At 37.6% G+C, this 12,936-nt stretch overlaps 1 protein-coding gene across 4 annotated transcripts in view, besides 1 other annotated feature; it reads right to left on the minus strand.

Moving 5' to 3' along the window:
* CSNK1A1 (casein kinase 1 alpha 1) overlaps positions 1–12,936 on the minus strand; it is a 58,458-nt gene that overhangs the window by 25,814 nt on the left and 19,708 nt on the right. For all 4 annotated transcript variants that reach the window (NM_001271741.2, NM_001892.6, NM_001025105.3 and 1 more), the window contains 2 exons: positions 6,250–6,376; positions 1,495–1,593 (listed from right to left, as the gene is read on the minus strand). In NM_001271741.2, coding sequence (NP_001258670.1) covers positions 1,495–1,593; positions 6,250–6,376 — 226 coding nt within the window. The remainder of the gene's footprint in view (positions 1–1,494; positions 1,594–6,249; positions 6,377–12,936) is intronic.
* Positions 4,677–4,846: an enhancer, noted in NCBI's record as "experimental_82187 CRE fragment used in MPRA reporter constructs". NCBI's record gives its function as "activates a minimal promoter by MPRAs in K562 erythroleukemia cells, with activity observed for the introgressed 5:148903120 variant allele {active_cell/tissue: K562}" and the evidence as "EXISTENCE:reporter gene assay evidence [ECO:0000049][PMID:34662402]".

Below are 12,936 nucleotides of genomic sequence, written 5' to 3' on the forward strand. Positions count from 1 at the left end.
TGTGGGGGAGGGGGGGAAGGCAAAGTGATATCTAGGTCATCATTTAAATTTAAGGCAAAAACCACGTACTGCAATGTCAACGATGCAGAATAGGAATCACATGGTGATAATGGGTTTTTAGGGGGTAAGAAAACAGGAAGGAGAGGGCTGGGAAATGGCCAAGAAGATTGGAGTCAAATGGACAAAACTGCCCCAAAACTTAAGAACAGTAATTTTTTTTTCAATTGAATTACCAGGCTTTACAGTAATAAAAACCTGGATACTTCAGAGAAAAGCTATAAAATATTTTTTAATGCAACTTGGGAATGACAAGATAAGTTATGTGTATATTTAAACACCTTTCATTATTTAAAGCTCAACAAAAAAATTTAATTTCCTAAAACCTAATCAGACCAACATCAGTATCTCACATTGACAAATAACACCAATTCTAATGGTAATGTCTCCCAGTTGGCATTCATACAGGCAAACAAAGGTAAACATTTATAGCTAGACCTAAAAACACCAAACATTTCCTAATAGTTTAGTAAAACAAATGGGCATCTTCCTTCCAAAAACAAAACAAAAAAGCCACAAAAAAACAAAAAAAGCCCCCAAGTTGTCCTGAAGTTGAGAATTTCTATCAGATAGATCATCAGATCACAACATGCTTAGTGCATTGCCAATGCTGCCTGTCTGCCCGAGCTCAACATAGTATCGATAAAGAAAGCAATTCACTCAGTAAGACTAATCATTACAGAAAAAAAGTCAACACAATTAGTTTCTAACTGCAATCATGCGCCACTAGCTAAAACCCAATCACCCCATAAGTTGAACCACTCTCAGAGACCCCAAATGAACACTAGTTTTGTTGTATGAATGTTCATTTCACTTGTCTACATTTTCCTTTAAAGGGAGAGGGAGGGGTGGAGAACTCACCCAATTTGGCACCCAAGTAAAAAACTGTCAACTACTTTTGAAGCAGGCCCAAAAGTTACCCTTTTAAATACACAAATTCAAGGACTGAAGAATTCTCATTATCAACCATGCTCAGTCAGCAAATGTTAACACCATGGTGACAGATAAGTCAGTGTTCCCACACTGGCACAAGCACATATATTATAAAAACCCACACTTCAGAGCCAAAGGTTAAAATCTGGTTTTAAGCATTCAGGAAGAAAAGAATATGGGGGTTTTTGCTATTTTTGTGAATGAAAAATAGATACAACTGTTCAACAGTTAAATAACTTAGACAACTACAGTTCATTATACAGCCCTTAGAATTTTATATTTCCATATAGGTAACTAACCTCGGTTGGGTAAGTTGAAGATAATTTATTTCAAGTTACTAAGTTAATGGAGTTAGCTGATTATCCTCATAGCACAATCTTTTAAAGCAACTGTCAACAGCAAATTCAACTTACTATGGCTTTTTAAAAGATTGAAAAGTTTACCAAAGCAATTCTTGTCGAAACTTTACTCTTTGTTCTTTCATGCAAAGAGCATTTGACTAACCTTATTACAGTGACGCCCAATACCCATTAGGAAGTTATCTGGTTTAATGTCTCTGTGTATAAAATTCTTTGTATGCACATATTCAATTCTACTGATCATCTGGAAAAAAAAGAAGGGAGAGATAATTGAGTTAAGTAGTAAATGAAAATCAACACATTTCTTAAGTATTTCAGTATCTCAATTATTTAGAGTTCACAAAGACAGCGCTAAAGAAAATGAAATGGAAAGGACAACTAAGTTCTCCATTTATTTCTAGGTTAATGGATATCTAAGCATATACCTGCTGTGTCCTTTGGCTTTACCTTCTAGTATTAATAATTAAAACCATGGCAGGGTCTAACCCCATAGGAAGACTTGGTGTTTGTGATTTTCAAATAATAAAAGGAATACCTGTATAATAGTTTCAGTTGCTACAATAAAGGAAATAAAATAAAAACTTTCCACACTCAATCCTAGGCCTTCTAAAGTAACCTGTTAAAATGGCCTTGTATTACCCAGACCTAATTCCATGTTATAAGATATACATATGCACACAAACAGATACACATATACTTGGGAGTGGAGGATGTTGACAGATTGGCAGATTAAGCTATAAGTAGTTGTTATAATTCTTATATAATCTCATTCCAAAAGTTAAATATTAAACATGCCATTCTTAAAAGCTTTCCTTAATTTCTTGGAAATTATGCAAAGTCAAACGCTATAGCTCAAATATCCTTTTTAATGGCTACAAATATTCTGTGGTAGAGATGTTATGTCTTCCCCAACTCACAGTATTCTCACATTGTTTTCCACTTTTTCCTACTATAAATAATGCCATTAATAGACATGTATCTTTACCCACTAGTGCTTTTATTTCTATGGGCTTCAAATCCCATATAATTATGGGGAGTTGCTGAGTTGAAGGGTGTATTTTTCATTTTGATAGATAATATCACACTGCCTTCCACAATAGGCTGTAACAATTTGGATTTACTCTTCTTTTTTTTTTTTTTTTTTTGAGACAGGGTCTCACTGTCACCTAGGCTGAAGTGCAGTGAAGCAACCATAACTCACTGCTGCCTCAACCTTCCAGGCTCCAGTGATCCTCACACTTCACCCTCTGGAGTAGCTGAAACTATAAGGTGCATGCCACTACACCTGGCTAATTTTTTTGTGTCAGCTAATTTTTAATTTTTGGTAGAGACGGGATATCGTTATGTTGCCCAGCTGCTCTTGAACTCCTGGGTTCAGGAGATCCTCCTGCCTCGACCTCCCAATGTGGTAGGATTACAGGTGTGAACCACCATGCCCGGCCTCGATTTAGAAGTAATCCTTCCATGAGGATTTTTTTTTTTTTTTGAGACAGAGTCTCACTCACTCTGCTGCCCAGGCTGGAGTGCAGTGGTGCAATTTTGGCTCACTGCAACCTCTGCCTCCTGGGTTCAAGCGATTCTCTTGCCTCAGCCTCCCGAGTAGTTGGGATTACAGGCACCCGCCACATGCCTGGGTACTTTTTTTTATTTTTAGTAGAGACAGGGTTTCACCATGTTGGTTTCCAGCTCCTGGCCTAAAATGATCCACCTGCCTCGGCCTCCCAAAGAGCTGGGATTACAGGCGTGAGCCACTGCGCCTGGCCCTTCTATGAGGATTTACTCTTCTATGTACTGTCAAGCTCCACTCTTTGCCTATTTTTCTTTCGGCCTATTGTCTTCTTGTTAGCTTTTAGGAGTTCTCGTCATAAAACAAACAATCTTTTATCTGTCATTATGTAAACAAATTTAAATTATTTTTTATTTTGACTGCTTATGGCATTTCTTGTATACAATAGAAGTTCTGTGTTTTTTTGTTTTTTTTGAGACAGAGTCTCACTTTGTCACCCTGGCTGGGGTGCAGTGACGAGATCACGGCTCACAGCAGCTTCAACTTCCGGGGCTCAAGTGATCCTCTCAGCTCAGCCCCCTGAGAAGCTGGAACTACGGACATGCGCGTTACCATGCCCAGCTAATTTTTGTATTTTTTGTGGAAAGGGGGGTATCGTTATGTTGCCCAGGCTGCTCTCGAACTCCTGAGCTCAAGTGATCCTCCTGCTTCTGCCTCCCAAAGTGCTGGGATTGCTGGCATGAGCCATCACACCCAGCCTCTATCTTTTCTATAAGACACTTACTTAGAAGTTGTATTTTTAAATAGATTACATATCCAAAGACTGCCAACATTATCTTTCTGTCCATATGTTCTTGCTCTACCCAGTAGTATCTGTTAGGATTCTATTTTTTATTTGTCCCCATTTTCCCCAGAGCTTTTATTATCATGAATACACAGATTCTAAATTGTACTCTTCTACCTTGACAAATGTCTTCTGAAGCCAAACTAGTAATCTCTGGCTTGAACAACTTACACCTGTTACCTGTCAACCACAGAGCAAGACTTAGGTGTCAACTACCTTAAATGAAAGCTTTCTTGTATCTCCCTTCCTCAGAATTATATTTTTTCACATTTGTTACCCGTGTACCCAACAGAGACTTCTACAACTCTACAACAAGGATGGAACATCTTATTTTTCCATCTTTCTTTATTAGACTCTAAGTTTCTTTCTAGAGGGAAGAGACTAATTCTTATTTTTTTGCCACCCCAACCCCCAGCACTAAGTACAGTGGTAGGCTCTCAATACATGTTCAATGTATGGATGCTTACGTGTTACTGAACAAACAAAAACATAAGCCATAACTCTTTTATTAGGATTCACTCATATATGTTAGTTAAAACATATTAAAGGCTTTTTTTTTTTTTGAGACAGAGTCTCGTTCTATCCCCCAGGCTGGAGTGCAGTGGTGCGATCTCGGCTCACTGCAATCTCCACCTCCTGGGTTCATGTGATTCTCATGCCTCAGCCTCCCGGGTAGCTGGGATTACAGGTGTCAGCCACCACGCCTGGCTAATTTTTGTACTTTTAGTAGAGATGGGTTTCACTATGTTGGCCAGGCTGGTCTCGAACTCCTGACCTCAGGTGATTTACCGGCCTTGGCCTCTCAAAAGTGCTGGGACTGTAGGCATGAGCCACCAAACCCAGCCCACATTAAAGGCTGTTAACATAAAAGAGATGGGGTCTTTGCTCTATTGCTCAGGCTGGAGTGCAGTGGCATTATTATAGCTCACTGTAGCCTGGAACTCCTGGGCTCAAGAGATCCTCGTGTCTTGGTCTCCCAAAGTGCTGGATTACAGGCGTGAGCCAGTGTGCCGCGCCACTTTTAACCTTTTAATGCTTGAGTTTGTTTTGTGCCACAAATATCACAATTTGCTCACATTTGCTTGAGCCACTGAGTACTTTTAAGGTTAAGAAGCTTGGGGAGTATCAGGTGCTGATTACAGAAAATGGGCACTACTTTCTAATCCTTGGAATTATAGACAAAGTTTTTTCATTGATCTATAATAGTTGTATATATTTATGGGGTATGTGTGATATTTTGTTACATGTATACAATGTGTAATTATCAAATCAGGGTAGTTGGGATATCCATTACTTCAAACATTTATATTTTGTGTTAGGAACATTACAATTCTACTCTTCTAGCTATTTTGAAATAAACGATAAGCTATTGTTAACTATAATTTCCCTACTATACTATGTAATACTAGAACTTATTCCTCCTAACTGTATTTTTGTGCCCATTAACCTACTTCTCTTCATCCCTCTGAATTTACAAACTTACTAAAATTCCACCTCAAATACCATGTCTGTTTATCTCATTTTACTTTATGACATTTACTTGAAAGAAGCTCACAGTGATGCTTTGGGTAATACATAAATAATAGTATTAAAAGGTAAGTGATAAAGTAAATAAAGGTAAGTGATAAAACAAATAACCTGTGTTCTCCTTTCCCTTTTCCTCATTTTATTTTCTTCTGTTATTTTCCCTCTTCCTTTTTATGTGATAGGCAAATCTGGACTAGAGAGCTGTCACAAACCCTCCATTATATTTTTAAATGTCATTCTCTTCATAGTATTTTTATAAGCACACTGAGTTTAACTTAAAGCATTTCCAGCATTTTCCTGCCCTTAAAGGTAACAAATACTGATCAAAACAAAAAATTATACATGTCTTGATATTTACCAATCATTACCTTAATGTATTATCTTTTCCCTTAAGGTTTGTTCCTTACTCATCTTTCTCATTTCTTAAGATCGAAATATCCAAACTTTGGCTGTAAAAACCATTTAATCTAACCTACAGCCAATGCATCAATCTAATTCATGACATCACCAAAATTTCCTAGGTCTTAAGTAACACAAATGGTTGAGAATCCATTACTCCAAGCAGCATCTACTTGGTCAAAAAATTCTTCCTTATATTACTTCAGGACCTTTTTATCCTCAAAAATATAGCTTTTCTAAGAGTCCCACACATAATACATAATATTCAATTTTGCTTAATTTAACCAAAATGTCAATAAACATTTATCAACAATTATATGCATACATACACTCTAAACTCTCCAAACAAAATCTTACAATAACCTGCTACATATGACACTAAAACTTCATCTGAAGGAGCAGATTGAAAACTACTAGTCTACAGATGAGTAAGAAACCAAGATAATTCCAGGTTTTGTCTTATTCCCATAGGAAAATATCTACAAGTCACATTATTATTTTTTTTCTGCCTATGCTAAGGTTAAATAGTGATGCACAGGATTTTAATACTCTGATTTATGAATAATGAAATTCCAGTCAACAGTACTAGTCTCAGTTTATATTCTAATCAAAATTTCACATACCTGGTCAGCTAACATAAGTACAGTTTTCATTGTGAACCTTCTTGAACAGAAATTGAAGAGGTCTTCGAGGCTAGGTCCCAGAAGATCCATGACTAGTACATTGTAGTCTTTTTCCTGACCATACCACCTAACGAAACAAAAGGAGAAGAGAGGATATTACAAAAAGCTATTACTTAATATCATCAACCCTAAGAATAATATAGTTTTCTTTCACTGACTAGGTATTATATAAGGCGAATGTTCCCCTACTCAGAAGACAAACCCACTAATTAACTACAAGGCCCAAAGACAAAACAAGGGTAATGAGACTTTTTTTTTTCCCTGTCATGCAACTCCATTCTCCTATATAGATAGGACATGCATAGTAGCCTTAACACTCCTGTTACCAGGGCAGCTGAATTTTATACCCACTGGCCACTGATTCCTATGGCCTTTACCAAATTCCTTAATCTCACCTGAATTTACTTTGTAACTGAAGAAATGAAGATGACTCTATCAGTCATTCCAAAATGTTTCAGAAAGCAAAGATTTCTTTTATCTGAACTTCGATTCCAGTTCCTACCAAATTGCATTTAATCAATAATTACTTGTCCTTATTCAAAAAGGAGTCACATTTTTCCTTGGCTTCAGATCACAGAAAATAACCCATATAACACAAGGTAATGACATTTATTTGCTTTTAACTGGAATCATGTTTTAATTATCCTGGGCTGTATTACTGTATACAATGTGTCCCTAATAAGAAGTATCAACTGCCAATTTCATTTATCCCAAGGACTGAAAATCACTGCAATAAATTATTTCAAATTTTGATGCCTATGATTCTGGTAAGAGTACTTTCCTTAAAATAAGCACTACCACTTTTCTTTCAAACTTTTCTAGATATTAAATTCTGCTAAGAAAATCAGGTGATACTTAAAATTTTGTTTAAAAAGTTATTTTAAAGCTTAAACTGCAGTCATTTCTTTGTTAACTCCAATAAGAACCAATCCCAAAATTTACCATATCTGGAAAGCTTATGTTTTAAAAATATTCAAAAGGGGAGAACAGGCTTTTCTTCCTTTCCCTTCCTTCCTCCTTATTTATCTATTTATTTATTTATTCATTTATTTTTAGACAAGGTCTCGCTCTGTTGCCAGGCTGGGGTGCAGTGGCAAATCACAACTCCTGCAGCCTTTGACCTTCTGGTCTCAAGCAATCCTCCTATTTCAGCTTCCCAAGTAGCTGGGACCACAGGCGTGCCATCATGCCCAGCTAAATTTTAAAAAAGTTTTTGGTAGAGACATGGTCTTTCAAATTTCTTGTAAAGGCAGAGTCTCCCTACGTTGCCCAGGCTAGTCTCTAACTTCTGGACTCAAGCGATCCTCCTGCCTCAGCCTCCCAAAGCACTGGGATTACAAGTTGAACCACTGTACCTCACCAGCTTTTTAAGAAAACTAAAATCTGTGTCAAAATTATAACAAGTATCAGTCAAGTAGGAAACTGTTTAGTGCCATTTCCTGCTTTGCTGATAAATGCCAATGATTCAAGAAAATCAATATTAAAACTAGAGTATGAGGATTTAATCTTTTAAGAATATTTTTCTAGAAAATGCAAAGATAACTATACAGATGTGCTACTCTTGTGGCTCTTCTTTAAGAAAAGAGTCTATTCTAACTAGTGGTCCTGGGCACCCATTAACCCTTGATGGCATCTACCAAAACTGCAGAAATTTCAGGCATAGCACCTGAGAAAGGGGGGGGAGCCTCAAATCAGTCAGCTTTAATTTCAGATCTATTCAGATAGGTCTCATAGTCAGGTATAATAAATATGCTCCCTAGAATCTTATGTTGAGAGTAAGAGATCCTAAGAGGATTATAAGCCAAAAAGTTCAGTTCCTTCCTACGACTTTTGCTTCAGTTGTTCTTGAGAACTACTTCCCAAACCTGACACATGGATAACTGCCAAGCACACAAAATCAAATCCATTTCCACATCCTCTTTGCAGAAAAAGATAACCCAGTAAGGGAAAAGTTCTGCTTAACTTTCTAGAGGTCTTGCCCACTAGGCTAGGAAACAAATGTGTCAACGTGACAGCAAAAGAGCCATTTTTTTTTTTTTGAGACACAGTCTCTTGCTCTGTCCGACAGGCTCGAGTGCAGTGGTGCGATCTTGGCTCACTGCAACCTCTGCCTCCCAGGTTCAAGTGCTTCTCATGCCTCAGCCTCCCAAGTAGCTGGGATTATAGGCGCCTGCCACCACGCCCAGCTAATTTTTGTATTTTTAGTAGTGACGGCGTTTCACAATGTTGGCCAGGCTGGTCTCGAATTCCTGACCTCAGCTGATCCACCTCTTGGCCTCCCAAAGTCCTGGGATTACAGGTTTGAGCCACCACACCCGGCCAGAAGAGCCAGTTTTGTCCTTATTGCTTAAAACAGCATACTAAAGCTGCTGTTATTTTCCCTCTTCCACTCTTTATTCTCCCTATGGGAATTCAACACCTTTCACATTCGCTGAAACATTTACTTGAAAGAAGCTCACAGTGATGCTTTGGGTAATACATAAATAACAGTATTAAAAGGTAAGTGATAAAGCAAATAAGCTGGGTTCTCCTTTCCCTTTTCCTCATTTTATTTTCTTTTGTTATTTTCCCTCTTCCTTTTTATGTGATAGGCAAATCTGGACTAGAGATCTGTCACGAACCTACCATTACAAACGTTCAACACTTGTTTAATATAAATATAATTTACCTAGGCTTTTAAGAAAACGAGAACACCAAATCCAGAAAGAGCTAAGGAAGTAAGAAGGCGCAAAAAGTCAAATAGGCAAAAGGGAAGGCATAAATCAACTCTTATTTATAAGACCAAGTCTCAGCTCTAGACAGGTTTCCACTGATGGCTCAGATGTAAAACTACAAAAAACAAGCAAATGTTATAACCATCCATCTAAGCCCAAACACAAACCTGAAATGTAAAAGGCACAAATTCAGACTTTATATTTTCATGCAATTAACATGATTTCATAAAGAAATCATCTGCAAAGTAAGCCTCTAACAAAATCACCTGCATGTAAGCCTCTAACTCCCTTAATAGTTAGAAACTGGGAAGAATTAGATGAATTGAGAAGCACACTTAAAACACACACACATTATTGGGCATTCTTCATCCTTGCTTAAATTTATGAACACAAGACATATTCACTATTCTCAAAGTCAGGAGGATTAAATACTTCCTTGAAAATAGCTAAAAAAAAATAAGCGTCTCAAAGGCATTTTACCTTGTGGAGCAACCATGCAGTTCTAAAACAGCTAGGACTTTCTTTTCTATGGACTGGTACTATAACTCCTTAAACCTAAGAGACAGGAGTTTACATCTTTCACACTTCCTTTGGTCTCAAGGAATATATAGCTTAATTCTCTAAAGCTAGAACGTCACACCCTCCATCTGTGCTCTTCCATCTGGACTAACTCATTCAGACATTATCACACACAGATTCAGAACCAGAAATGGTCTTCTGCTTATTCCAATCTTACTTATTCTTAGTTTCTACCTTCACCTCCATGCTTCCCACGTCTATTCTGAGAGCTTTTCTCTACCTTCAATCCCAACCTTAAAACCCAGATGCCAAAGAAATCTTCCTAATGTCACCTATCCCACATTGGTCTCCTATTTCCTAGAATTCCCAAAGCCATTAACTATTGCTTGTGTCCACAGTCTTAACCCCTTGACAATACTCATCTACTGTAACTTTGGTGTTTGTCTCTATACCTGGTAGGATAGAGCTTACAGCTTTATTTTTATTTGAATAGCCTTTTCACAGAACCTGAGTCATGAACAAGCACTAACCCGATTCTCTGAGGCCATTTAAGTTTATAGTCTGAAACACCAACACAAAAACCTCACTCATTTACTTTCTAGGCCTTCAAACTAGAAACACAGGTCTTACCTTTAGACATTTTTAAGTACAAGACGTGTTGCTACTAAGTGTACAGTGGTAAAGTGATGTGCATATTGCAGGTACTCAGGTAATTATGAGACTAAAAAAAGTATTCCAGTTGATTTGGACCTTATTCTTCCTAAGTTACGAAACATTAAAAAAAATCAAGTAATTTAATGGGTGAAAGTGAAAATAATAATTTTAAAAAGATAAAATGTTCGGGGATCTCATTTTCCATTTGTTTCAAATCTATACCTTTAGACTTCAGTGTTACCTAAAACTAGGCTGAAGAATGAGTTCATAATTTACACAACCATTATTACTTACTTACAGCATAAAAAAAGTATCTAAGGTCTGAAGATAATGCCAAGAGAAGGCAAGGTCTATCTCTCTGCTCTTATGTCCTTTCCTCTAAACGCATATCCAAATTAAATCCAATTTAAAAATTAAGACATACACAAAAAGCACAAATGTAAGACAATACATGCAAAAGTCAATGAGGCTGACAAAAAATGCTAACATGATTCACACAAAAGATCAATGAGAACTAAATCTGTCTAAAGAGGTATTAGGAAAATAGTCTGCTACCAGTCAGATCCTGAAGGATGAACAGTGTTTTGATAAGTAAGGCAGAAAAGGGCTTACCAGGCAGGGGCAAACCATTTTGGGGCATGGGCTGTCATAAAGGGAAGAGTCAAGGTGGCAGATAGATTGAAGCTGCAGTATAGGTTCTTCAGTGCAAGGCTTATGAGCTTTACATGCTGTAAATAATTGGGTGAACTATTACTACAGTTTGTGGCTGAGACATAATTAAAATCAGTAATTATTAGCCTTGGCATCAGTATACAATATGGAAATGGAGGACCAGGGGAAGGAATGACAATGACATGGTTACCAATTAGGAAGTGTTATACTATAGCCGGAGATTTCAAGCTAGGGGTTTGCTTTTTTCTGAAAAATGTCTTCATGAAAATGGGAGTATTTGAGAAAAAAAATACATATTTTTCATATAAAAATATTTAAGTATTACTATGAGACCCAGAATATTCCAGAATAAATCAGTGTAATTATTGTAATATGCACTTTACCCAAATATATGTTAGTTCCATCACCATGACCAGGACAAAATAACAGTAAAAAAAAAAATTTAATGTAGATCTTCCCCTTCAGACTATTAACTTAATTAGGGGCAATCATTATATTTGTCTTGTTCACAATCTGTATTCCCAGCATACACAAGAGATGCTCAAAACATTTGCTGAGTAAAATAATGAAAACTCATATTAGAAGCTGTAACAGTGTAGGGAGTGCTTGATTTGGCAGATAAGGAAAACAAAACAAGAAATGCAAAAACACTCCCTGCACTCCAAGTGAAGACATCAGGAAGCATCTATTTATCCCTAGTTCAAATAAGCCAAATAATTATAAAAGTTAAAAAGTCGTTTGCCAATCTTTCGGTTATTAATGTCAGAGTCTTCAGTGAACAACTAAAAAGTATCAACACTGAATCAGTGCTATAATATATCCAATTTTAATAGCACCTACAAGATATCCTGAAGATACTGTCTCTCAAACTTAGTCTCTTGCCAGCCCATCATTATCCAACCTTTATGCTCCTTTTTAATGGGAGCAGAAAAGGAATTTGGCCTAGCAAGATCTTGCTGAACCGTAAGAACTAACTCAAATTGTCTCTTTAGGATACTACTGCTAACAGTTCCAGCTACTCAGGCCAGGCGCGGTGGCTCACGCCTGTAATCCCAGCACTCTGGGAAGCCGAGGCGGGCGGATCATGAGGCCAGGAGTTCGAGACCAGTCTGACCAATATGGTGAAACCCCGTCTCTACTAAAAATACAAAAATTAGCTGGGCATGGTGGTGGGCGCCTATAGTCCCACCTACTCAGGAGGCTGAGACAGGAGAATTGCTTGAACCCAGGCAGCAGAGGTTGCCATGAGCTGAGATCTCGCCATTGCACTCCAGCCTGGATGACAAAGCGAGACTCTGTCTCAAAAAAAAAAAAAGAACACATAAACAAAAAAAAAAAGTTTCAGCTACTCTGTTCCCTTTTCTCTAAAATCCTTTCAATTTTCCTATACATTCATATTTGTATATGCCATTCTTAACAGCTATTTGCCATTCATTATACACAGATGTATTCTCAAAACCAGATACCTCTTCTCCCCATACATCTCTTCTCAGAATGTTTTAAATGCATAAAATACAAGGCATTATAAAGAAAATCAATTATAGCGAAATTGAACTAGCATAAAATTACTTCTAAACAATCAATTTTGGGGCCAGGCACAGTGGCTCATGCCTGTAATCCCAGCACTTTGGGAGGCCAAGGAGGGCGGATCACCTGAGGTCGGCAATTCGAGACCAGCCTAACCAACATGGAGAAATCCCATCTCTAATAAAAATACAAAATTAACATGCCTGTAATCCAGCTACTTGGAAGGCTGAGGCAGGAAAATTGCTTGAACCCGGGAGGCCGAGGTTGCAGTGAGCCGAGATCACGCTATTGCACTCCTGCCTGGGCAACAAGAACAAAACTCTGTCTCAAAAAAAAAAGAAAGAAAGAAAAGAAAAAGAAAAAAAATCAATTTTGAGCCAGGTGCAGTGGCTCAAGCCTGTAATCCCAGCACTTTGGGAGGCTGAGGTGGGTGGATCGCTGGAGGTCAGGAGTTCGAGACCAGCCTAGCCAACATGGCAAAACCCTGTCTCTACTAAAAATACAAAAAAAAAAAAAACAAAAAACAAAAAATTAGCCGCAC

The sequence above is a fragment of the Homo sapiens genome, chromosome 5 (assembly GCF_000001405.40).
Source record: "Homo sapiens chromosome 5, GRCh38.p14 Primary Assembly".
NCBI classification, from domain to species: Eukaryota; Metazoa; Chordata; class Mammalia; order Primates; family Hominidae; genus Homo; species Homo sapiens.